The 24324-nt window shown below is 40.6% G+C and overlaps 1 protein-coding gene across 1 annotated transcript; it reads right to left on the bottom strand.

Moving 5' to 3' along the window:
* Window positions 1–8970: 8970 nt before the first annotated feature.
* Window positions 8971–16702, bottom strand: ADAM21 (ADAM metallopeptidase domain 21). Its single transcript, NM_003813.4, has 2 exons — window positions 16613–16702; window positions 8971–11527 (listed from the first exon to the last, which is right to left on the bottom strand). The coding sequence occupies exon 2, from the start codon at window positions 11374–11376 to the stop codon at window positions 9208–9210; it is 2169 nt and encodes a 722-aa protein (NP_003804.2). The 5' UTR covers window positions 11377–11527; window positions 16613–16702; the 3' UTR covers window positions 8971–9207.
* Between the last annotated feature and the right edge of the window lie 7622 nt (window positions 16703–24324).

Genomic DNA, 24324 nt, shown 5'->3' with positions numbered 1-24324 from the left:
GGTCTGTGTGTTTAAATTTACTTAACATTTCATGTCTGGTCACATTCTCAATACTTCTATAGATGATGGCAGCAACTCCTAGATTCACTAACAAGAGGACTTGTACTCATGTAAGATTTGGGGTCTAATGTTTTCTAGATACCCCTGTGGCAAATCCTGTTTGCACTAATATACATTTGCTTTGCTTTAACACTCTTAAGGTCTTTTTCTTTTTCTTATTTTTTGAGACAGGGTCTCACTCTGGCGCCCAGGCTGCCAGGCTGGAATGCAGTGGTGCAATCTTGGCTCACTGCAACCTCTGCCTCCTGAGTTCAAGCAATTCTCCTGCTTCAATCTCCTGAGTAGCTGGGATTACAGGCACACACCACCACGCCTGACTAATTTTTGTATTTTTAGGAGAGAGAGGGTTTCACCATGTTGGCCAGATTGGTCTCAAACTCCTGGCCTCAAGTGATTCCCCTGCCTGGGCCTCCCAAAGTGCTGGGATTACAGGCGTTAGCCACCGCACCCAGCCTTAAGGTCTTTTTCTAATTGGTTACATTTGAGATGTTTGCTATTTGTCCATTTTATTGTTAGTGTTAAACAAATAAACATAAAAGGCTACTTTGGCACTTATATGGTAGGATAGATTTTAAAAATCTTTTGTGTCATAAGCACCTTGAATTTCAACAGTGGTTCTACCAACTGCTGATTGTGTGATTATAGGCAAAGTCTTAATATTTCAGAGTTTCAAGGTCCACATTTTACATTCCCAGTTGAAATGTACTTTTCCAAAGCATTGTGACAATCAAAAGAAAGCACTTAGAAAAGCCTGAAACATTTTCGGCACTTGGTACATGCTGTCTGCTATCATTTTCATTATTCTCAGTATTTCTACATTGTGTTAAGCCTGGGGAATCCCATATGTAATTTCTCTGGCTTTTTGTCTTTACCGTTAAACTATTACAGAAAGGGTCATTATTCACTGATAAATCACTTCTCAATTTCTCTGGAAATTAAAGGTATGGGACATCATATTTTAAATCTCCAGGAATTGCCTAAGCCCAGCCTATCTATAAATTGCAGGATGGAACTGACAGTCTGATAAATGTACAGACACAAAATCTTACCTAAAGGGAAACAGGAAGAATCACTTCAGAAATAGTGCACTAAGGTCGGGCACAGTGACTCATGGCTATAATCCCAGCAATTTGGGGGCCTGAGGTGGGAGGATTCCTCGAGGCCAGGAGTTTGAGACCAACCTGGGCATCCTTGTGAGACTCTATCTCTATAAACTATCAAAAAAATAAAAAAAAAAATACCCAGGCATGGTGGCATACACCTGCAGTCATAGCAATTCAGGAGTCTGAGGAGGGAGGATCAGTTTGAGACCAGCCTGGGCAACATAGTGAGACCTTGTCAACACAAAATATAAAGAAATTGGCTAGGCATGGTGGCATGTGCCTGTGGTCCTAGCTACTCAGGAGGCTGAGGCAGGAAGATCACTTGAGGCCAGGGGTTCAAGACCAACCTGGGCAAGATAGCAAGACCCTGTCTCTAAAAAAAATTTAAAAATCAGCCAGGTGTGATAGTGTATCTCTATAGATCCAGCTTCTTGGGAGGCTGAGGCAGGAGGATCACTTGAGACCAGGAGCTGGAGGTTACAGTGAGTCATGATCCTACCACTGCACTCCAGCTGAGTGAAAGAGTGACACACTGTGTGTGTGTGTGTGTGTGTGTGTGTGTCTGGGTGTGTTTTAAAAACTTCTCCCTTGTTTTTAAGGCTTATCATATCCAACAAGAGGTGATGTTCCAGGTCAAATAATAAGAGGGAGCTGGAGATGTGGAAGAAAAGAAGCAAGGGGGACTTTAAGAAGATAGGGATCAGGATAGAAGGGAGGTGAGAATCAGAGGCATAAACTGAGGTAGAAGGGAGGAGTCTTTTGGGAAAAGAAGACCATTGAAGTTGTTGGAAACAGGACTCAAGACTAGAGACTGTTCAAAATATTTCTTTTCTTGGTTTCTTCATACCAATTAAAGTAAGTTATTCGTGGAGTGTCAGCTATTCTGCTACCCTTTTCTTCTAAGGTGACACAAAAATGCACAAGTTTGACATGTCCCAAGTAACCAAAGGCAGTGCATTTCAAATTTATACCTGATGAAATCACACCACTTAAGAATTTAACAGATCTATCAACATTGCACCAGACCATATGTCTACACAGATCTGGCCAGGTGTTTGGGTTGAATAGGAGTTTCCGTAGTAGAAGAAATTTGAGATAATAGAAGAGTCTTGTCCCACCTTAGGAAAGTTGCCTAAACTCTCTGCACATCTAAAGAACTCTGAAAGATGGAAGGAAAATGCTGACTTCAGTCTGACAAAAGGGTACCTAGAAAAAAGTCAAAGCATGCAACCACCATGCTCTGAAAGAAAGTCAGGTGATGGGATGATCTGTGTGGCAAACCACCGTGACAGTGTTTACCTATGTAATGAACCTGCATGTCCTATCCTGCACATGTAACACTGACCTTAAAATAAAAGTTGGAAATCAAGAATAAAAATTTAAATGAGGGAAAAAAAGAAAAGAATCAGAGACCAAGAGCAGGGCTTATCTCTCCACCCAAGGATATATATATATATCACTTGAGACCAGTTTTTTTTAAGTGACTCAGACAGAGGTTAAAGGCATTATTCAATTGAACTACATGAGGGAGTACCTGAAGACCAGGTGATGTCACAAGTGAAGCAGTGTCAAGGTTTTTACAAGATGGGAATGTTTTGGGTAGCTGTCCTTGTCCTTTCAATTTTACCATCAGTGTTCACCTTAACCAAAACTCGTAGATGGAGACTATTCGTATTTCCTTGTCCCTTCTTTGGAGTCTAATAACCAACAGAACAATAATTCTGAGAACTGTCTTTACAAACCTTGTGGGTTTTTGGATAGCCATGGGCTGTGAGAGATATACAGTTTAAAAAAAAAAAGGGGGTTGTGGGAAGGGTGCTGGGCATGGTTGCTCATGCCTATAATCCTAGTACTTTGGGAGGCCAAAGTGGGAGGAATGCTTGAGCCCAAGACTTTGAGACCAGCTTGGGCAACATAGCAAGACCCCACCTTTATAACATTAATTTTATTTTAACTTTAAAAAAATAAAGAGAAGAAGGAAAAAGAAAAAGGACAAAAGTGGGAGTCAGGGAGAACCCAGAGCCCTTGCTGTAATGTTTGTTTTAAATCTTTTGCATCTTCATCCCAGGAGGTTAACACTGCTGCACATATCCATTCACAGTTACGATTGTGTTGGGTGGTTCCAAGTGGCTCCCAAGTGAATCCTCTAGTTTCTTCATATAATCCTCCATGCCTCTACTGGGGCTCAGCAGCCTTACCTCCCCCTGCTATCCAGGGTCAATTACTCCTGCCAAAATGACTCTTCTTTTTACCTGCTTGTCCTTGAACAGAAGATGTCCCAGATGCCCTGAGGGCAGCTTGCAGGTCTATGGAACTTATACTGGGTCCCCTGGCAAAGATGCATTCTCTTTGTGGACCAAGACCTGCCTAGAGAACAGATAGTTGCAGGGAGGGAAGCAGATCAGTGGATCATCAAGTGTGATGATAAGTGAGGCCACCCAGCTTCTCTTCCTTGGTTCTGGGCCCCATATATTCTTTCTATTGCGTATACAACACCATGTAGGAATCTCTGACTAAATATACACAATGCATTGTGAAGGCTGGCACTCAATTCTATTCTTTCAGAATATTGTTTCTGAGCTGGCACTCTGGCCCTGCCTTCTGCAGGCCATTCTAAGCAGTCTAGAATAGATGCTACTAAATATTTGATATATGATACAAACAATATAATTCATTGCTACATGCCATTCTTGCACCTCATACACTAAAGAATGAATGAATCCTCTATTCATATGCCAAGTTGCATGAGATTCCATGCTTAAAGATCCCACAATCCATATACCCCCAGTAGTGGTGCTGGCTCAAGTTCTGCAGACAATATCATAACTAGAATATATATATTTTCTTGTGTGAACTAATCTCTGGCCCTCCCAGGATAAAAGGTGCACAAAGGAGTTAATGTCTCACTAATTTGCTCTTTGGTTTCCTCGAAGAGTAGTACCTTCCCAGAAACTCAGCCTTGATCTGTGTCACTGGCAAGTTGGACATTCATGGCAGAAGTGTCTTGATTAATTCTCTTGGCAAGTGGGAGTCCATGCTATTGAGCCCAATGTACCTGTATCTCTGCCACCATGGCCACTTGTTTGTGTGCCCCTTGAAGAACTCATATATATAGATATCCTCTCAAGAGTGTGAAGACCCAAAATAATGGCTAAAGCAGAAAGCTTTTTTACCTTTAGAAAAAGAACAATACATTTGTGAAGAAATGACAAAAGGATCTAAGCTAGGGACAGTGAATTCCAGGGAAGTCACTAGGAGATATATTGGTAGGGAGGAGGAGTTATAAAGCTAGGGAGAGATAAGAGTTACTTTATTTGTACAGGTCTACTGAAGCAACAATTTCCAATCTTTGGGGATAGGGTTATTTTCTTGTCCTGGTACAGGGAAGGCATCTTTCTCCATGGAATTTTTATGGCTTGCTATATGTGGGAAAAGGCAGGTCAGATAGTCACTTCTGGAAATACAGTTTCCAAAGTGCTTTGAGCTTTGAAGTAATCATATACTAATTTGGCATATTTTAGAGCAGCAAACTTTTAACTCCTTTATTTTCCCTGTCTGAAACTTCCCTAACAGTTTCAAATTAAAAGCTGAGTTAGTGTTTGTGGAGAGAAGAGTTGTGTTAGTAGCTGAGTGGCAAGGGGTCTGCAAAGGGAGAGAAGAACACAGATTAGAAGGAGAATTAATAAGCAGAAAAGAACAAATCTAAACACATTTACCCATACTGCATTCAACCAATCTCCTATCACTGGCAATGGGTCAGTCCAATTGAATGGTTTAGCCTCATTTATAAGATGAAGAGTGTTTATTTTGTCTTTCAAAAAGTTCAGATTAGATTCTGTCTGTCCCTAGTGATTTACACATAAGCAGGGTTCCTCACCAATGATTGCATAAGCTCCTCCTTCTTGGGCTGTCATTGTATCCAGGACATGGTGATTCTGAAGTACAACAGAGGCTAAACTGTTCACTTCTGATTGGAGTCTTCTCAGTGCTTGCATAGTAATACTGACTCCTGTTCTATTACTATGGAAACATTGAGAATTGCCCTTTCCCTCTCATAAGTTCCAAAGCCTGGGAAAATGGATCTCAGCATGGAAAGGAACTTAGAATTGTGACATATAAGTGGATTTTCTATAAAATCTCATTTAGTACGCTTGTGTATCACTACTTTATAAACGAAGGAGCCCAAGTTTATAATTTGGCTGGCATTGAAGGAGGAGTACCTGGTGGCAAAGTGTTAGGTATCTGAGTCCCCATCATTCTGACCATGTAGGTGGGAACCCTTCATAGACCTTGTCACCACACAAGATAAAAAGACCAGTGTGGTTCACAAATAACGTTAGAGTGAAACTCGTGACCCTACAGATTGGGGTTTGTTGTGCTTTGTCTTCCGTCATATTGGCATCTGTGTATCTATATGTGCCCCTGTCAATCCGAAGGAGTAGAATAGATTGCAGAATATCAATTTAGTTTGGTTTTGGCAGCTATAGGACTTGATTTTGTCACCTGGCCAAGTTATTCCACATTTTTTGAATACTCACCATGCTATCACCATGTAATCTTTGGTGCCTATCAGTCTAATGAGAGGAGCAAGTGAGCAAATCCAAGTTGCACAGGGCTGACTTCTGGGCCATCCATAACATGTGGTGATGTGGCAAGTGTTTGTACCATAAGATTCAGTGTCAGGACCATTTATGACCTTTGTGAGAGGCTTATATGTGTTGTCTGTGGCATCAAGTCACAGGGTTTGATTGTACTACTGCCTTGGGAAGTTACCTATGAAAGGTCCTGCACCATCTCTGCTTTCAGTACAAAGGGAAAAATCCCTTTCTAATGTCTTTACCTAAACAAATGACAGTCCTCAACCTTCTATACAGGTGTCCAACTCACCAGAAAGAGAAGTAGTGTGACGTTGTTTTCTTTTCATGGAAGCCATACCTTGTCATGCGTCTGTGCTCCGGATTTGACCCACCAGGCACTTGCATCAGCAGGAACAAAAATAAGTTCACATAATTTTGCATAATCTAGATGCTGATATACCCAGCAATCAGATGGCTTAGTTCACGTGGCCACGGTTTGGAAAACTCATGCAAAGGGATGTCATGTCAGTTCTGTGCCTAAACTGTTATGAAAACAGTAAGGGTTAATAACAATAAGACACAGTTTGAAAGAAAGTCCATAGTGGAGGATCACAGGGAGAATTGAATAGACTGAGACAGTCTCCAGTCAGCTTTTTCAATAGGTGCTCAAAGAACAAAGAAGACTTTGTGAAGAACAGAGTTTTTTGAAGTTTTCTTTGGGGGGAAAGTAGAGAGACCCAGTTCCTGTTATACTAAATGAACAGCCTCACTTGGGCCCCAACACCACAGAGAAGTTCCATGAGGACTGGGGAAGCTGTCATGCTCATTCACACATTTCTTATCAGTTGAGAGTTGCTTTCACATGCGTTAACTCCTTCTTGCTTCCAGCCTGCTCCATCAATGGGCTGAGCTCACCCCCATAAAGTAGAATGCCATTAGTGTACATAGTTGTCATCAGTACTACAGACAACCTCAAGGTTCAGCCTAAGAGGATACAGGCAGGTACCACTAGAATCTGCTGTACCATACTTTCCAGCCCTAAATACCTTTACTTTTACTCTCATTTCCCTAGGATTGTATTTTCCAAATAAACCATTTAGATTTATTCCTTGCTTCAGCATATGTTTTCTAAGGAACCTGGGTACAGTAGATGCTGAAAGCTCACCCTCCATCTTCTTGTCCCACTTGAGTTCACTTGCAGCCACAGTAGACAATCTTCATGCTCTGAGAGTTTACTACTTCACATGCTTATATCTCAGATATTCTTTTCCTTACAGCTTTCTCCTGAACCATGGAATATTAATCAAAGGTGTGTTTCACATGACTTCTCAGAAAGCCTACAGGGATGACTCCAGTAGTACACAGAGAAAACTTGTTCATTAGTCTGCCCTGTTTTGTGCTTCCCCAGAAAACTAACTCCACCTAAATCCTTGTCTCTGGGTCTGCTTTTTGGGCAATCCAAATTAAAACAGGTGGTAAGACTCTATGCTTCTTATAAAAAGGTTAATTCTACCCACCAATCCTGATATAATTGACTGATATAGCTCTAATTAACTCAATGAATATAAAATAACTATGCAGCTTTTCTTAAAATAAGAATATTGCAAAATGCACTGCTTCTTGTAAAAATTTACAAGTAAAATAAGGTGACTCTAACAAATTAACTTTAAAATACAATACAGGATACCAATTTACCAGCAAAGCAGTGATAAAGGATTTATTCTATGAAGTGTATCAGGACAACAGGCTACCCATTTGGAAAAGTATACAATTAGATACCTATCTCATTCCTTATAGCAAAATAAATTCCACAATTAAGCATAAGAGCTGAAACCAACATAATCCCAGAAAAGTAATCTCAAGCAGAAATACAAAACTCGGCAAATATAAAAGAACATTAGGCTGACAAATTTTACCGTAATCAACTTCAATGGCTTTTTACCATAAAGCTTTTCAAAAAAGAACCAATAAACTGGAGCAGCTATCTTTTGTCTCCATATGGATGTGTACACTTACAACATGTGGAGCTTTCTCTGATTTGACCAGATTGTATTCTTGATTCACTCCTCCCTCCTTGTATGGCTCCAGTAGCTGTCCTCTGCTTCTTTTTGCTAGCACATTGTTGGACCCTCTCCATCTCTATTCCTAGAGGACATCAAATCATAAAGGGGTGACCACAAAGTGATGGGGCACACAAGTGGAACACTTACCATTTCATAAGGAATGCTTCTACGAAGATATAACATTTAACCTCTATTGAGAGAAAATAGGAGTTTTCCAGGGCAAGGGAGTAGGGGCAGGGTGGTAAACAGCATTTTGGGAATGGGGATTTCATGTACAAATATGCAGAGAATGACACAGCCAAATATATTCTAAACATGAAATAGATAGAAGATGCAAAGTTGGCAAAGCATAATGAAAAATGATATGCAAAAGGTATTTTGACTCAATTTACAGAGTGCCATTCAGAAGTTAACTGATCAATACAAAGGGTATCTGACTCACTCTGTGTTTTCAAGAGACAGGCTTTCCAAAAACACTGAGAATAGACGGAGAAGATACACTGGGGGAAGAAAAGACCAGCAAACTGCACCAGGTACAAACAGCAGCATTTTAAATATTCAAAGTTTAATTTTGAGCAAGAGCTCCAGTAGTTTAAAAAAGAGGATCAGAATGACATCCCAAGGTATCAAAATATTATTTTTACTTTTCATAATTTCATTTATTTAATACTCCATTCAGATTCATGATTTCATTTAAGTATTTATTGTGTAGTAAGCACTGTGCACTGTTCCGGCTATCAAGGATACAATGATGAGCAAAACAGATGAAAACAACCCCACCCTCATGGAGATTATATTTTGGTATGTGAAGCAAGCAAATGCTCCAAAAGGATATCCAAACTGCCAAATTAAGACAAAGAGCTAGGAAGCACACAGGGAGCAAGATCAGGAGATTTCATCAGATAACAATCTGTTTATACTTAACAAAAATTCACTTATTTCTCTCTTTTGGTTACCAAATAAAACCAAGAAGTTGGGTGGGACAAATATTATTATGAACCCTACCCCTTTTCAGATTTTGAAGCAGAACATCAGAAAATTTAAGTAATTTTCCCACATTGATAAATGTCAGTAGAGAGGTAAGCCTCACCCCTGGACACTCTGAGGCAGAAACATCTCATACATTTCCCATAAGTCATCTCTATGCACAAGAAACACAACAAGGACTAAAGGGAGGGAAGGATGTAGCTTTATTTGCTGCTTAAAACAATAAACAATAGATAGAAACATGTTAAGAATAACTTGAACTTAATGACAATGTTTGTGGTACTAATGTAAGGGAAGATCTTTGCAGCTTTCTGGAAATGGTCAGAAATGTGCTCAGTTTCAGGGATGTACTAATGTTTCTACTGCCAAGAGACTAAAGTGTACTAATGCATGGAATATTAAGTTAGAGACATTTTCTTAACCTGATGAATGAGCCTTAGTTTCTTTGGGACCAGAACATTGTCGTAGATACATAAGAAGCCCGACAGTAAACAGGAAAGTCAAAACAGACAAAGAAGGAATCACAATCAGCGGCAAAAAAACTCCTCTCTTTGCAGATGCTGGGCCACTGTCAATACTGCCCCCATAGCCTCTGTGCTGGCAGTAGGGTGGGGACCACCCATAGCCACAGTGGCAGTGATGTTTGTTATTGCAGATCCCCTTCATATTGCAGGTCTCAGGAAGGCAGACATGTGACAAGACAGACAGACTGACACACTTCTTATGGATGCAGATCTTTCCTGGGCCACACACAGTACCATCTTTCACTTCACCAATGTCAGATATGTTCATCCTTAAATGATAGTCAATACCCCAGCAGGTGACACCATTGATATGAGTGTGCTGCAAAGTAAAATGATCTTGGAGAAGAGGAATGTCTCTCACATTCTCACATTGAACTCTCCCACAAAAGACATCAGAGATATGACATTTTAGGTATGTTGTGCCATTTATACCACAGTGACCAAAACGGTTTCCCTGAGAATTGATTTCTTTATAGCAATTCTGAGATGCACTTTTTGCATCTTTACCAAAAATCTCCCTGCAATGCTGGTCATGGTTATTACACCTCTTTTGATAGCAGTAGGCACTGTCACTACAGGGGATCCCGTCCTGCACATATCTATCTTCTGGACACTGATGAGATGTTCCATTGCACCATTCTGGAAGGTCACATTCATTGACCTCTTGTCTACAGAGTTCCCCTGATGGCATGAACTTGCAGTCTTTGCAACAAAGCCCAAAAGCACAGGCAGCCCCAGGCCTTAGAGTGCAGTTCAACAGACAACAGGCGTCTTGTTCACACTGCTGTACGGATCCACAGTCACACTGCTCTTCTCTTTCAACCACACCATTCCCACAGCGCTTTAGCATAAAGATTTCCCCCAATCTTGGAGGATTATGCAGACATGATCCCTGGTTTAAGGTGGTCTTCATAAAATCAGCGTAACTGCAATTGGTGAATTTCTCTGCTGGCACTCTAAAAGTATTCATGATGCAACCTCTTTCCCCACAAAAACAGAATTCTTCATCATGCTGCATACCTAACGTATGACCTAACTCATGGGCCACAGTGTTGGCAAAAAGAGACCAGGTATCTCCTTGAAAATTATCAACTCCACAATCAATAGGTGGACGACATATTCCTGCAACATAGGCTAGGCCAAGTATACTTATAAGTGAATTTTTTATGAACATATGTGCAGCATCATGCTGTAGCTGGGAAAGACTGATTTGTTTCCATTGAGAGAAATCGTTCAGGACCTGTTCTATGCTTGTCATTGGGAAAACATTTCCTTGATTCCAAATTTCAATTCCAATCAAAATTATGTAAGTACCTAACTGCTTATACATGGAATCCACTATGTTGACAACAAGAAATACATCCTCTTGCACCTTTGAGATGTTGCTTTGAGAGTAAATGAAGAAATCATGGTTCACCACAACAACTAGCTCCAGAAACCATGCATGAGTCCACCAGTCACCAGCAGATTTTGGTTCCAGAGCTGAGTTCTCAGCCTCTTCAAATTCCAACTGTTGGCGTGCTACTTCCTTCTCTGTTAAGCCACATCTCATAGCTGGGAATTGTGTCTCATTACTGTTTATCTTATAAACCAGGTGTTCAAATGTGGCAGAGTGCCTGATGGGTTCAATTTCATAAGTGAGGCCACTTATTTTTAATACTCCTCGAAAGCCCCCAAAACAAGCACTGAACACAACCAGAGACTCAGGGGCTGCCTCCACGTAACCATGATAGTAACAGTCATCTGGGATGAAGAGCTGATCCTCCAGGAGTGCACGGTCATCTGTGTAGGTGAACACTGGGAGGTGTCTAGAAACTAAGAGCTTCTTGACCCTCATATGAACAACGTGTTTCTGGCCCCCAAACCGCAGACTATAGGAGAGCCATCCAGGAGCCTTTGCACTTCTGCCCCTGCTGATCACCTTCAAGGGGATCACCACTTCCGGGGAAGTGAAATGCTGGGAGGGCCCAGCCTGACAGTAGCCGGAAATAGACAAAAATACCCCAAGCCAGAGCAGCAGAAGAGTGACTCTGATGTACACGAGGGTCCCATCCACTGCCATTATGAAGCTGTCGTTATGGAGCCATCTGTCCAGAGCAGAAGAGGACAAGGTGTGAGGCACTGCTGGTCTGGCTTCTCCCTCTAAGCTGCTCAGGATGCAGGGCTGACCCTGTGGATCTGTGTCCTGGCAGAGTTAGATCAGAACTGCAGTGCTGGAAGTAAAAATAAAAAGATGGGTTGGAAAGGTGATAAGTAAGGAATCAGGAGAGAAAAAGAATGAAGTAGTGAAAAACTGGTTGATGAATCAAGAAAATGCTTTGGATTTGCTTTTAGTAAATGAGGGTGGGGATTTAGGGGGTATAGAGGAGACAACATTGGCCACGTGGTGATAATAGTTGAAGTTGGAAGATGGGTACTTAAATAGTTATCTCAGTCTTTACAGGCAGTATGGAATGTCCATAATAAAAAGTAAAAGCAAAAGTAAAGAAACTTAAGAGTAGGGTGACTCTATATATCAAATTGTCCAAGATAATATTAGTTTATGCCTGTTGCCCTTGCAATATCTATTGATAGTGTCTCCTTTGACTATCAAAACTGGAGACATCAAAAATAATCACAATTCTGTGTCAAGTTGCATCAGTCTTATGATATACTTTAGTTTCTTTATCTCAAAGTTATTTACTATTCCTCATTGTATTCATCTTTACTCATAACTTCATTAGACTGAAAGATTCTTGACTGCAGGGTTTATGATTTTCGTTCATTTTAGTATCCTCTGTAATGCCTCATATAGCTCTATGTACAATGAAAAATGGAAAAACGGAGGAGGGATTGCAAAATGTCTTGGATTATAAGTGAATGCTACTAAAATGTGTTCATATTGTAGTATAATTTTTAGAAAAGAAAATTCATGAAACACTGACATCATTTAAGGGTATGGAGAGAATAATGTTGTTCTCTCCAGTTAGCTACAGGAGAGTCCCAAAGACAAAACGAAATGCTTTCAGAAGAGAAAATGAGAATCTATGCAGTTTAAAGGTCTTCCGAAAAGGAACTCTTTTCTTATTAGGGCAAAAACCATTGTAGAGTCTAGTATTTTAGGATCGCCAGGGAAGAGTCTGAGTGTTTGCTCAAATATATTTACCAACAGTTTTTGAAAGTGGGGAATTTCTGCACCTGTCATACAGTCTGGCTGGCAACACTTATCCATTTCTTTTTCTATTTATTAAACAAGTCTTTATGTGTTTGGAGCATACAAAGTGCAGGACATTGTGCTAGATATTAGAGAAAGAAAATCAAAATACAGAGCATTAAATAAATTATCAATTTAGTGCAGAAACTGTGGCAGGAGCAAGAATAAGCTTTAGGAGGTCAGTAATATTGTATTCAATATTTTATGTATTTCATGACTTTTTTTGCTGAGGAGAGTATCCATATATTTCATCATAGTCTCAAATGACTGTCAAAAGTGAGGCTAGTAAGCACTGAGCATGTGTAGAAACAAACAAAAAACAGATAATTATAATATAATATGATCAAAACCAGACAAAGTTTATGCTTCAGGGATCCTCACTGTACAGACCTCTATAAAGACCCTGTAAGGGGCTCAGCAATGGACTTTATGAAAGTCATATAATTATGAGTAATCAAAATTAGTCACTATACAAGAAAAATCTCAAACACCCTGAAATATTACATCGCATACATAAAAGACTTAATAGAGGTTTTCTAAAATTTGACAATAGTAAATTTAATTATTTATCTCATTACCAATAACAAGCTGTGAAGCTGAATTTTCTTTTCTAAACTATTAATAATACAAAATGAATTTTTATTAAACATACTAGGGAAAGGCAAATGCCTTTCAGTTCTTGCCGTAGAAATTATAACAAAATAATTCTCTTAAGGGAGGTAATTAAATAAGCAATTTAAAAACTATAGGGAAAAGGTATCATAAAAGTGAGTTAGGAAGTTGATTAATGTAATACTGAGGGGATTAAATTTTGTGATGTTTATGGTGTTTTCAACCTTTTAATATTTATAATTTGTTGCAGCTTCTTTCTTATGCTAAATAAATCCTCATTTTCATACTTATTTTCTGCAATTGTAACTTGGTATTATTTTTCTTAAAGTGGGCCCCTCATCTTGTACGTGCATCAGGCCCAAAAACTTAATTTCACCTCTGACTGTGATCAACATATTGATGAAGGTAGGTGCTATTTCTTATAAGAACAAAAAGGAAAAGCACTTAAATCAAGCTAATCTAAGAGGACTTACACAGAAGATATAAAAATGAACATGCCTGACCCAACACCAATCATCTCCTGGATTTTGAATCCATTTCTAATCAATGCTTTCTTTGCCCTGATTCAAGTTTCCTTATATTCTCTTCTTATACCTTCCCTTGTGCTTTCTGGAGTCTTCCTTTAAAGACAAAAGGAGAGAGAGAGAGAACCAACTCCATCCTGTACCTCTTCACAGAAAGCTCCCTACATCTACTTACCGTATTGAACCTGAGCTTTAATAGAATTTACTGCTTGCCTAAAGGCTTCCTCTTGAGAAACTCCATCCTCAGAAGTCACATGCACCACAAGGACCAGAGTTCCTGTTCTCCACAGCCCACAACATGAACACCAAATCATTTATCCTGCAATATCTGACTACACTATTTTTAGATGTCTCTTCAACCACCCTTATCACACTTGGACAAAATTCAAAGGCTCTGGCCTCTGACTGATAAAATTATTCTCCACCAAAATTCCTACCCTCAACTTAAAGTAATATTAGCAAGTATATAGAAAACCCATCTGAAAACAAGACAGGGTTTTTTAAAGTTTTTTTTAACCTCTTCAATTCATCTTCAGTGTAATTCAGCCCACCCACTCATAGTCATAATGTATACCTTGTCAACACACAAAAAATTTCATATATCCTAATCAATTTACCAACAATTTTAGTTCTCCCAGCTCTCCCCCTTACTTCTGCTATACCTGTTTCTCAAACCCAAAGAAAACCCAAATACTTTTCTTTCATCATCCCCCATTTCTCTTAATGTTCTTGTCTTCCAATCCATTCAGCTCTGCTACCAGTTTCATCCCTTCAAGCACTGTATGCCAAAATCTTTGACTCTAGAGAGTCCTAAATGTGACAGAGATTGTCGGGGAATGGGGGGTGGGCAGGAACTGCATTAATTCTTCACATACTTCCTCCACTCCTACATCAAAGCTACTAATGCTGCTCTGAAAAAAAAAAAATCCCAAAACCAATGTGTTTGTGAAAGGCTTAAAAAGAGAATATAGAAATCAAAACTGAAATGGCTTGTCCTGGATCCCCAGCCTAAGGAATAGAGATATAAAATCCAGTAGATATTTCAAAACTTCCTATGCCATATTGCTCTTTTCTTTATTCTCCTGGATATTGCATTTGCACCTCCTCAATCTTCTGAGTTTTCCTCATTTATGTATAGTGCCAGCAGCTGAAAATCCATTCTCATTGTCTCTCAATCACAGTAGAATTAGTTAACCAAGTACCTTTCCTTTCTAATATAAAGTATTTAAGGTTTTTTTCCTTTTCTTGTCCTAGACTGGCTATGTGGATGCTGGAAGATGGGGAAAACTTGTTTCAAGCTGAACATTATCCTTGCCATTAACTTGCTTAAAGAGGCTGGATTCATCTGGGCAGTTTTCACTGCTGCAAGTTAGGCACCTTATTCCACAAGGTGCAAGTAGCATGGAAGAGAAAAGCAAAGTTCATAGGCAAAACTTCCAAGAACAAAGATCTCTGAATTGGGATGAAATTCTAACTGCCAGATTTGCTCTCTATATCTCTCTTGATATGTTTTCTACTTACTATGGAGTGACAGTTGTTGTGGATGGGAGGATTGAAAATGGGAAGAACTAATCAAAGATATAATGTTGTGGAAAGGACTGATAAGCTACACCAACCTGTGTCATATTATTCTTTTTCTTGGAGCTCAGCATGAGAGCAGGCAATAACAGGAGAATAACTTTAAAAAAATCTTTAAAACCAGACTCATTGTCTTCATTCCTAGGACTTACAGAGACCAAAGCTCCTGAAGTACCATCATTCTACCATGGATACTGTGAAGTGGTACCACCGTAAATCCATGTCCTCTAATGTCAGCGGACTATCAGGTGAGCCAACAGCCCTCTTCTGCATGTTTGATAAACTCTTCCTTTCCCCACAGCTATTTCAAATTCATCAAGACCGCTCTCTACCCATCTTCCCTCTTATTCCAATGCCCTAATGCACTGTTTTCCTATCTGTCTGTCACTAATATCTGTCCCATTAGAGTCATGGAAGTAATTCAGCTGGCTATAGCCTGCAGTCTTTTTCCTTGAGGAAATAGAACAGAAATATCAGAAGGCATCCCTAGAAGATCCTTAGCAACCTTGCACACACAGTGCCAAATATGTGGGGTGTAAGTGTGTGTAAAGCCACAATGTCATAATATAAAGTGGATTTCTTTCTCTGGAATATGATACACACACACACACACACACACGCCAAATTCAAAGATAAAATGGTTTCTGGGCCTTTCACCATCTGAATCTGCCTATATCCACCTCTTCTCTACCTTACTACCTCTCTAGTCTCATTAGCCCCTCATGGTTCCAGATCATCTCTCCCACCTACTTGAGGACTGTTTCTATTAATTTTCCCTATTCTCAACTGCATCTTCATCTTCTACTACTTTATCTATTCCTTACTGGCAATTGAGGTGACTACCTCATCCTGATTTTCCCAGGACTGTCCTGGTTTTAAAACTGAAAGTGCTGCACCCAGCAATCCCCTCAGTCTCAACCAAACTGGAATGGTTGGTCACCCTACCTACATCCATGCTCAAGTCACTCATATCTTTAAAAATGAAAACACGCCGGGCGCGGTGGCTCACGCCTGTAATACCAGCACTTTGGGAGGCCGAGGAGGGCGGATCACGAGGTCAGGAGATCGAGACCATCCTGGCTAACATGGTGAAACCCCGTTTCTACTAAAAATACAAAAAAATCAGCCAGGCGTGGTGGCGGGCACCTGCAGTCCCAGCTACTCAGGAGGCTGAGGGAGGAGAATGGTGTGAACCCAGGAGGCAGAGCTTGCAGTCAGCTGAGATCGCGCCACTGCACTCCAGCCTGGGCGACAGAGTGAGACTCCATCTCAAAACAAACAAACAAACAAAAAAAATGAAAACAAAACAAAAATTAAGAGACTTCACATTATCCAGTGGACTACTCTGGATACCAAATTATGCATAGAACCAAACTTTATGAATGACTTACCATCAGAAGAAACAGTAGTTTCCATGGCCATTTCTGTCTAGATGGTTTATACCATGCTTTATCAATGGTTTGTAGCTGAGGCCACAGAACAAAGGGAAACATAAGCCCTCTCCCTTTTGTCTCTCAGGTGACTAAATTCTAGATTTAGCTACTTAGCAACAAGGAACTTTCAATTCTACAGAAATAATAATAGGCTCTGAAGAATATCTTGCTCTCATCCTGCCATTTCTATACTCACTTCCGAATTTAATACAATTGGAATTGGGTTGTCTCCTCACCTCCAGTCTATGTCCCCTGACAGCACAGGTTTGTAATTTTGCTGGTGTCATTGCATTGGTCTAGACTGTCTAATCACTTTTCCCATTGAACTGAATTATAGTAACTTTATAGGGCAAGATCAAATTCCACTTCCATTATCAAATCTTTCCTAAATAATCCAGAAAACATTAACATCCTGTAACTCTCTTTATAACTTTAATATGCAATACATTTTTGTGTGACAAAATTTATATCCTTGCTATTTTCTGTTTCATACGTGAGTTTTAAAAATTGCATCTCCTATTAGACTATAATGTTTTGGAGAAAAGTATGCTCAAAATGATTGGTGGAGAATTTATGGTATAGTGTTTGGTAAAATATATAATCAATAAGATGAGTTCAATTTATAAAAACTACATAGGATAAAGACTAATTTAATAAAATATTAACTCTAACTTTGGGAATTTCTGTTATAGATTTTTGTCAACTCCTAATTTACCTGGTAGAATCAGAGCCTCATGGGATAACCATCAATTAGAAGCAGTTTTAATTACAGACCCCTTCCATTTCCTGCCAGGAAAAGATTCTACTATTTATGCTGGTTTCTTTAGAAATCTGACAAGGTTCCTTTTGATAAACTGTTTTGCTCATACATGCAAAACTGGAGACACCTCTGCCTTAGGAGGGGTAGATACAAAGAGGTTTGTCTTCCGCTGGACTCAGTGGATAACATCTACTTCTATACCAGACATCATTTACAATGAGGTATACATAGCCCCAAAAAATTAGAGTAGAGGAAACCACATACATTCAATCATGGAAAAAGCTTAGTAGCAAGCCAGTAGCACTAGTAAGCAGAGCGAAGAAACTCTACGCAGGGAGAAAGATAATTGAGGAAGAATAGAATGCCTGCTTCAGGCAGAACAAATAGTAACCTGCAAGATCCATAGGTGGGAAAAGAATGAAACCTTCCCAAAGGAGCTTGGCTTGATCTCTCTAGCTGTAAGAAGGAGTAAATTTATTTCTTCTTCTTCTTTTTCTTTTTCTTTTTTTTTTTTGACAGGGTCTCACTCTGTCACCCGGGCTGGAGTGCAGCTGTTTTTTGTTTGTTTGTTTGTTTGTATCTTTTATAGAGATAGGGTTTGTCCATGTTGGTCAGGCTGGTCTCAAACTCCTGGGCTCAAGTGATCTGGCCTCCCAAATTGCTAGGATTACAGGCACCCGGACAACATTTATTTCTTTGTGGAATCAGCACTAAGAACTTCTGGTTCCAGAAAAGATAGAGTAGACACATTTCTTCCTATTATTCCTAGTAAGTATAGTAAGTCCTCAATGTCATGAATAGGTTCTTGGAAACTGCAACTTTAGGTGAAACAATGTACAGTAGGTCCTGAAATAACATTGTTTTGTCCAATGTGTTTCATTATAACACTGATGAGACAAATAAAAATTTGTTTTGTTGTATGTTACTTTGCACTGTTAAAGTCACAGTTTCTGAGAACCTATTGCTGATGTGAGGACTTACTGTGCAAGTAAAAACACTGTATTTTAAATAGAAAACAAACATAAGAAGGTTAAGAAAGGTAGAGAAAATCATGCAGAGAAGGTACCTACCCTGGGATCTAAGGAATAACATGGTGGTGAATCCCTGAGTTTTCTTTTAACCTCAAGCAATCTGGAGAAGCCTATAACATTTTAATGCCAACAGACATAGAACAAAAAGACTCAAGAAGTTTGCTGTCTGTAGCCAAAGGACTCAGAAATGAGCAGTCTGGCGAGACAGAAAACTTTTAGAAAATAACCATCCTTCTCCACCCAAATGTCATGGGAAAACTTGTATCCCCACATGCACTTCATCAGCAAAAGCCACATGGGGAGCTTAAACTTTCAAATCTTCCCAGCTGTAACGTGGCATCCCCTCCCCCACCCCACTCACTGGGGTGGTGTCAGAGAAGGTCAAGTTGAGTTCTGAGACTTTCCTCCTTGTCATGCAGTAAATGAGGCCCTGATATAGTTTGAATGTTTGTTCCCTCAAAATCTAATGTTAAAACATGATCCCCAATGTTACAAGTGAGGTGTGATAGAAGGTGTTTGGCTGGATCCCTCATATATGGCTTGGTGCTGTCCTTGCAGGAATGAGTGAGTTCTTACTCTATGAGTTCACATGAGAGCTGGTTGCCTAGCCAAGCTCTAGGAACAGGGCCACCACCCTTCAGACCCCTGAATGATAGAGCCACCAGCAGCTTGTACCCTTAGCCTAAAAACACTGCAGGCACTCAATACCAATCTGTGAGGGCAGCCACAGGCGCTGCACCCTGCAAAGCCGCAGGGGCAGAGCTGCCCAAGGCCTTGGGGAGCCCACCCCTTGCACTAGTGTGGGCTGAATACAGGACATGGAGTCAAGGATTATTTTAAAGCTTTAAGGTTTAATGTCTGCCCTGCTGGGCTTCAGACTTGCATGGGGCCTGTTGCCCCATTTTCTTTTGGCCAATTTATCCCTTTTGGAATGAAAATGTTTGACAAATGCCTGTGCCACCATTTAATCCTACAGGCACATAGGTGGAAGAAACCTGCCTTGAGTATCAGATGAGACTTTGGACTTTGGACTTTTAATTGAATTGATGCTAAAATGAATTCAGACTTTAGGGGACTACTGAAAAGGGATAATTGTGTTTTGCAATGTGAAAAAAAAAACATGAAATTTGGGGTCCTGGGAAAAAATGATATAGTTTGGATGTTTTTACCCTCCAAGTCTGATGTTAAAATATAATCCCCAGTGTTAGAGGTGGGGCCTAGTGGGACACGTTTGGAGCATGGGGGTGAGTCCTTCATGAATACATTGGTGGTGTCCTCATGGTAATGAATGAGTTATTCCTCTATGAGTTCATGTGAGATCTGGTTGTTTAAAAGAGCCTGGCACCTCCTCCCTCTCTCACTTTTTTCCTCTCTCACCATGTGACACACTGGCTCCCCTTTGCCCTTTGCCTTCAGTCATGATTGTAAGCCTCCTGAGAACCTCGCCAGGAGCAGATACAAGCACTAGGCTTCTTGTACAGCCTGCAGAACCATGAGCCAAATAAACCACTTTTCTTTATAAATTACCCAGTCTCAGGTTGCTTCATAGCAACACAAAACAAACACTGGCTCCTATTTCACAATGTCAGTGGAGGTCACTTGGACAGCTGTAATGAGGCATCTTTCAACTTCCCAGCTAAGATGGCGTCAACAGAGGCCTAGAGAGGAGGATGAACTTTTCCATTTGAACAGCAGATGTGAGCTGCCCTTTACCCCTGGCATATCAACAGAAATTAAGTGGAGAACCTGGAAAGATGCCAGCGTTTAGCAACAGCAAAGTAATGCCATTCTTACCCTACTGGTGCAACATCATAAGGATCCTGATAAAAGAAAAAATTTAATAAGATCTAGGGCCTCACAACATAACACCCAAAGTGTTCAGAATACAGTGGAGGCCAGGCGCAGTGGCTCACGCCTGTAATCCCAGCACGTTGGAAGTCCAAGGTGGGCGGATCATGAGGTCAGGAGTTTGAGACCAGCCTGGCCAATATGGTGAAACCATGTCTCTACTAAAAAAAACAAAAAATACAAAATTAGCCAAGCATGGTGGTGTGCGCCTGTAATCTTAGCTAATAGGGAGGCTGAGGCAGGAGAATCACTTGAATCCTGGAGGTGGAGGTTGCAGTGAGCCGAGATCATGCCACTGCACTCCAGCCTGGGCGACAGAGCAAGACTCCATCTCAAAACAATACAAAAAACAGAATACAATGAAAAATCACTAGTTATTTATAAAACCAGGAAAATCTTAACTTGAATGACAAAAAGACAACAGATGCTGACTCTGAGATGATGCAGATGTTAGTATTATCTGATAAGGATTTTGAGACAGACATCATGAACTGCTTCAATGAGCAATTACAAATCTGACTAAAATGAAAAAAATAGAGACTTGGAACAAAAAAATGAGAAAGTCTCAGGAAAGAAATATAAAATATAAAGATGAAAGTAATAGAAATTTTAGAACTGGAAACTACAATAACCAAATCCAAACTCACTGGATGGGCTCAACAGCAGGACAGAGAATAGAGAAAATTATCAGCAAACTTGAACATAGAGAAATAGTTAATACCAAACCTTTTGTTAGATTTATACCTAAGTATGTCATTTTTGGGAGGTGTTAATATAAATGGTTATATTCCAAAGAGATCAAATCAGATCTGTACAAAACTGTTTATTGTGGGATAATGTGTACTACCAAAGGTTTGTGCACAATTCTAATTCCATCATTAGAAAGCTATTAGGTAAACAGCAATGCTTCTACATCATGAATAATATGCAGTCATAAATGAAAAAGGATTATCTCTTTACATTAATATTCAGTGATTTCCAGGGTCAGTAAGCTTAAAAAACAAGATTAAGAGAAGTATATATGGCATACTACATTTTGTGTTAGGAAGGAGAAAAAGGAGAATTCTGAGAAGATGACAATGTTGAGACTTCGATCCATCTATTAGGGAAGATAGAGCTGACAGATGCAGGAGGCAGATAAGGGAACCTGCCCAGGGTCTTGCCTGGGCATGCTCACAATGAACTGGGGGCCTGTATGTTCACTGGGAGAATGGGGTGGAGCCACCAGGAATTCACACCTTATGCTGGGGGAGGGGCCCGGCCTCTTCAGCTTGTGTGAAGTGGTCTGGTCTTCAATCTGTGAGGTGGTAGCATGTTGGCAGGACCACTTCTTTCTTTGCTGAGCTTTCTTTTTGCCTAATAGATCTACCCTCCTCATCCTTCAATTTGTCCACGTGCCTAATTTTTCCTGGTTGTGAGACAGAAACCTGGATTTTAGCTGAACTAAGGAGCAAAAAATCCTGCATCATTTGGTAGCCTGTAGAGGGACATGAGGAGGGGTGAGTAAAGTGCGGACCCAAAAATCTCCTTCCCTTTCATTTCTGAGCCTTTTTGTCCTCACACTAAGTCTGAGGGTAGAGGAAACTGCTCCCCCGCCCCCCAACACCCATCACTCTTGGGGGTCAGGAACTTTGGCCCTGGTCCAAGCCAGTCTTTTCTATGGCATTTTCCTTCTTTTTGGGGGAACTGTAATGGCATCTATCATTTCTTTTACAATATTGGGGATGTTTCACCCCCACCCCAGTGGCCTCAGGTACACGTACAGGATTGACAGGTGAGCAGTTGCTCCCCGCCCCTCTTCCCTTTTGGCTGGGGCACATGGCTGTGTCTGCTGCATGTGCGTGCCAAACACACACACACAGGCCAACAGCCACGCAGGGCAAAAATGAACCACAGCCACTACCCAGGCCCCAAGGCACCTCAGGGTCCCATGCCCTGCACAAACAGCTGGCCAGCGTTCCCCACCACATACCCCTGGCGTCTTCCCCTCCCCTGGCCAAGGGGTCCAGCTCAGTCCAAACCCCAGGGAAGAAATAGCAATTAAAAGTTTCTCTCCCAGTTGAAGAAACTCATTTGCATAAGAATAAGAGGTTTCTTCCCCAGGCATCTTTTTCTTTTCTCCATTTTTCAGCAATTAACACAGCGTTGTATTTAGGTTTTTTTTTTTTCCTTTCTCCACCAGGTCAGAAGTTAACTTTTATGTGAGAGGCATTTTTTTTCCTTTTAGAAGACGTTTTACTAGGTTGGGACCCCAATTCACAAGACACCCTTTTCTATCCCTTGTTGGAGGAAGACTCAAATTCACAGCTTCACCTTAGCATTCTGCTTATAAGGAGTTCATGCAACCCAACCCCCCAGAAACATTTTTGTCCCAAATTCAATTCCAAGTTCAGGAACTCAAAGGCTACTGACAGCAGGGGAGATAGGGCATACGTGGGTAAGAGAGGATGATCCCACCCCCTAGACCCCTCTGTTAACATGGGTGAAAGCTGCTTTGATACCCATGGGTGGCAACCTGTTGTGATTGCCAGAACTCAGAAATATAAGGATGGAGTAAAGAAAGAGACATGCTTTGCTTTCTCTACCTCATGTACCATGGGTATTCGCTAGGAAAAGAAGGGAACTGGGGACACCTTGCTCCTCTCTTTCTAGATGAGTAGCCATTCATCTTCCATCTGTACCTCTTTGAATGCATCCTGAGTCCTGGGTCTCCTTTGAAAAAATGCCGTATTTTTCCTTTTTCCTCCTCTGTCCTCTGTTCACAGATGGAAGGTTGTGTCCCCATGCTGCAGGACACTCCCCTCAGATGTAGCCTCCAAACTGGGAAAAGTTAACTTCCCAAGCTTTAAACTAGTTGTCTTGGGATTGAGCTCAGTGGGGAGGGAACACAGAAGCCTGACATGCTGGCAAAAGGGGCCTGACATGCTGGCAAAAGGGTAAGAGTGGTTTTTTTATTTTACCAGTTGAGCTTTTGGCCCCACTCTCCTGTGCAAACTGGTAAAGGGAATGATAAGGATCACTGTTTATATTCTCTGTAAAGTTTGTAGAGTTTTAATTATAAAAAAGGATTCATGAGGTTGGTCTTAAGCTGTAGCCAATCTGGTGTGCTTTGCATGCTTCTCTATATGGTTCTGTAAGAAAGAGGGGTACCTTAGGTTGGGATGTGGGCCTAGGACTCTATAGGCCTTCTACTCAAGCCAGCCTGGAAAACTGGTCAGTGGCAAACTTTGCTGAAGGCCTCCATCATATTTTATGTACTTGGAAGGATGACCTTTAACCATGTGGCAGTGCTTTGTTTTAGCCTCTGCCATTTTACAATGGTGGCCCAGGTTCAATCCCGGCTTAGGGAATGAGTTCTTTCTGGTTCGATATCTGTGACCTTTACCATTTGTTGATTCTCTTCCCCTCCATGAACTACCTTGAATTTTCCTTTCTGTGAGCACCTGGGAAGTTACCTTTCATAAAGTTCAAAAGCTAGAAATATTGGCTGCTTGGCATGGCTAAAGTTGCATAATAAGGGATTTAAAAGGACTTTCTTAAAGAGTGCTTATCTTAACTAAAAGTGGATATCCAAGTTATAGGTATATTTAAAACGCCTTTATGTTTTTCTCTTCTTGGATCTTGTTTTGTTGGAAAAAGGTTTTTTTTTTCTCAGACAGCTGAATTCTTTTTCTCCCTTAAGGCATGCATGAGAGGCCCTAAAATAATTTCTGATGGCCTGGGGCTGCTTGGGCAAAACAGAAAAGGTGCCACAGATTCCATTTTGGGAGAGACCTCTGTTTTCCTCACGGAGCCCCAGGAATTGGAGGCAGATGAATCCCTCTCAAAATCTGATTTTGTCTTCCAGCTATACCTGTTTTTTAGGCCCTAGAAACTGCATGCTTTCCTAGCCATGCTCTCAAAGGGCCCACTCAGAGGTGAACAGTCCAATTAAGAGATTGCAGAACAGAAAATCTGATAACTACTGGATCTGCTTCTGCTTGTCTGTGTAGTTACATAGGTGTAGTGTGTGATGTCTATTTTAAAAAAGA

The sequence above is a fragment of the Homo sapiens genome, chromosome 14 (assembly GCF_000001405.40).
Source record: "Homo sapiens chromosome 14, GRCh38.p14 Primary Assembly".
NCBI classification, from domain to species: Eukaryota; Metazoa; Chordata; class Mammalia; order Primates; family Hominidae; genus Homo; species Homo sapiens.
The sequence above is the reverse complement of the archived record's forward strand: the minus strand, read 5'-3'. Positions and strand labels throughout refer to the sequence as shown.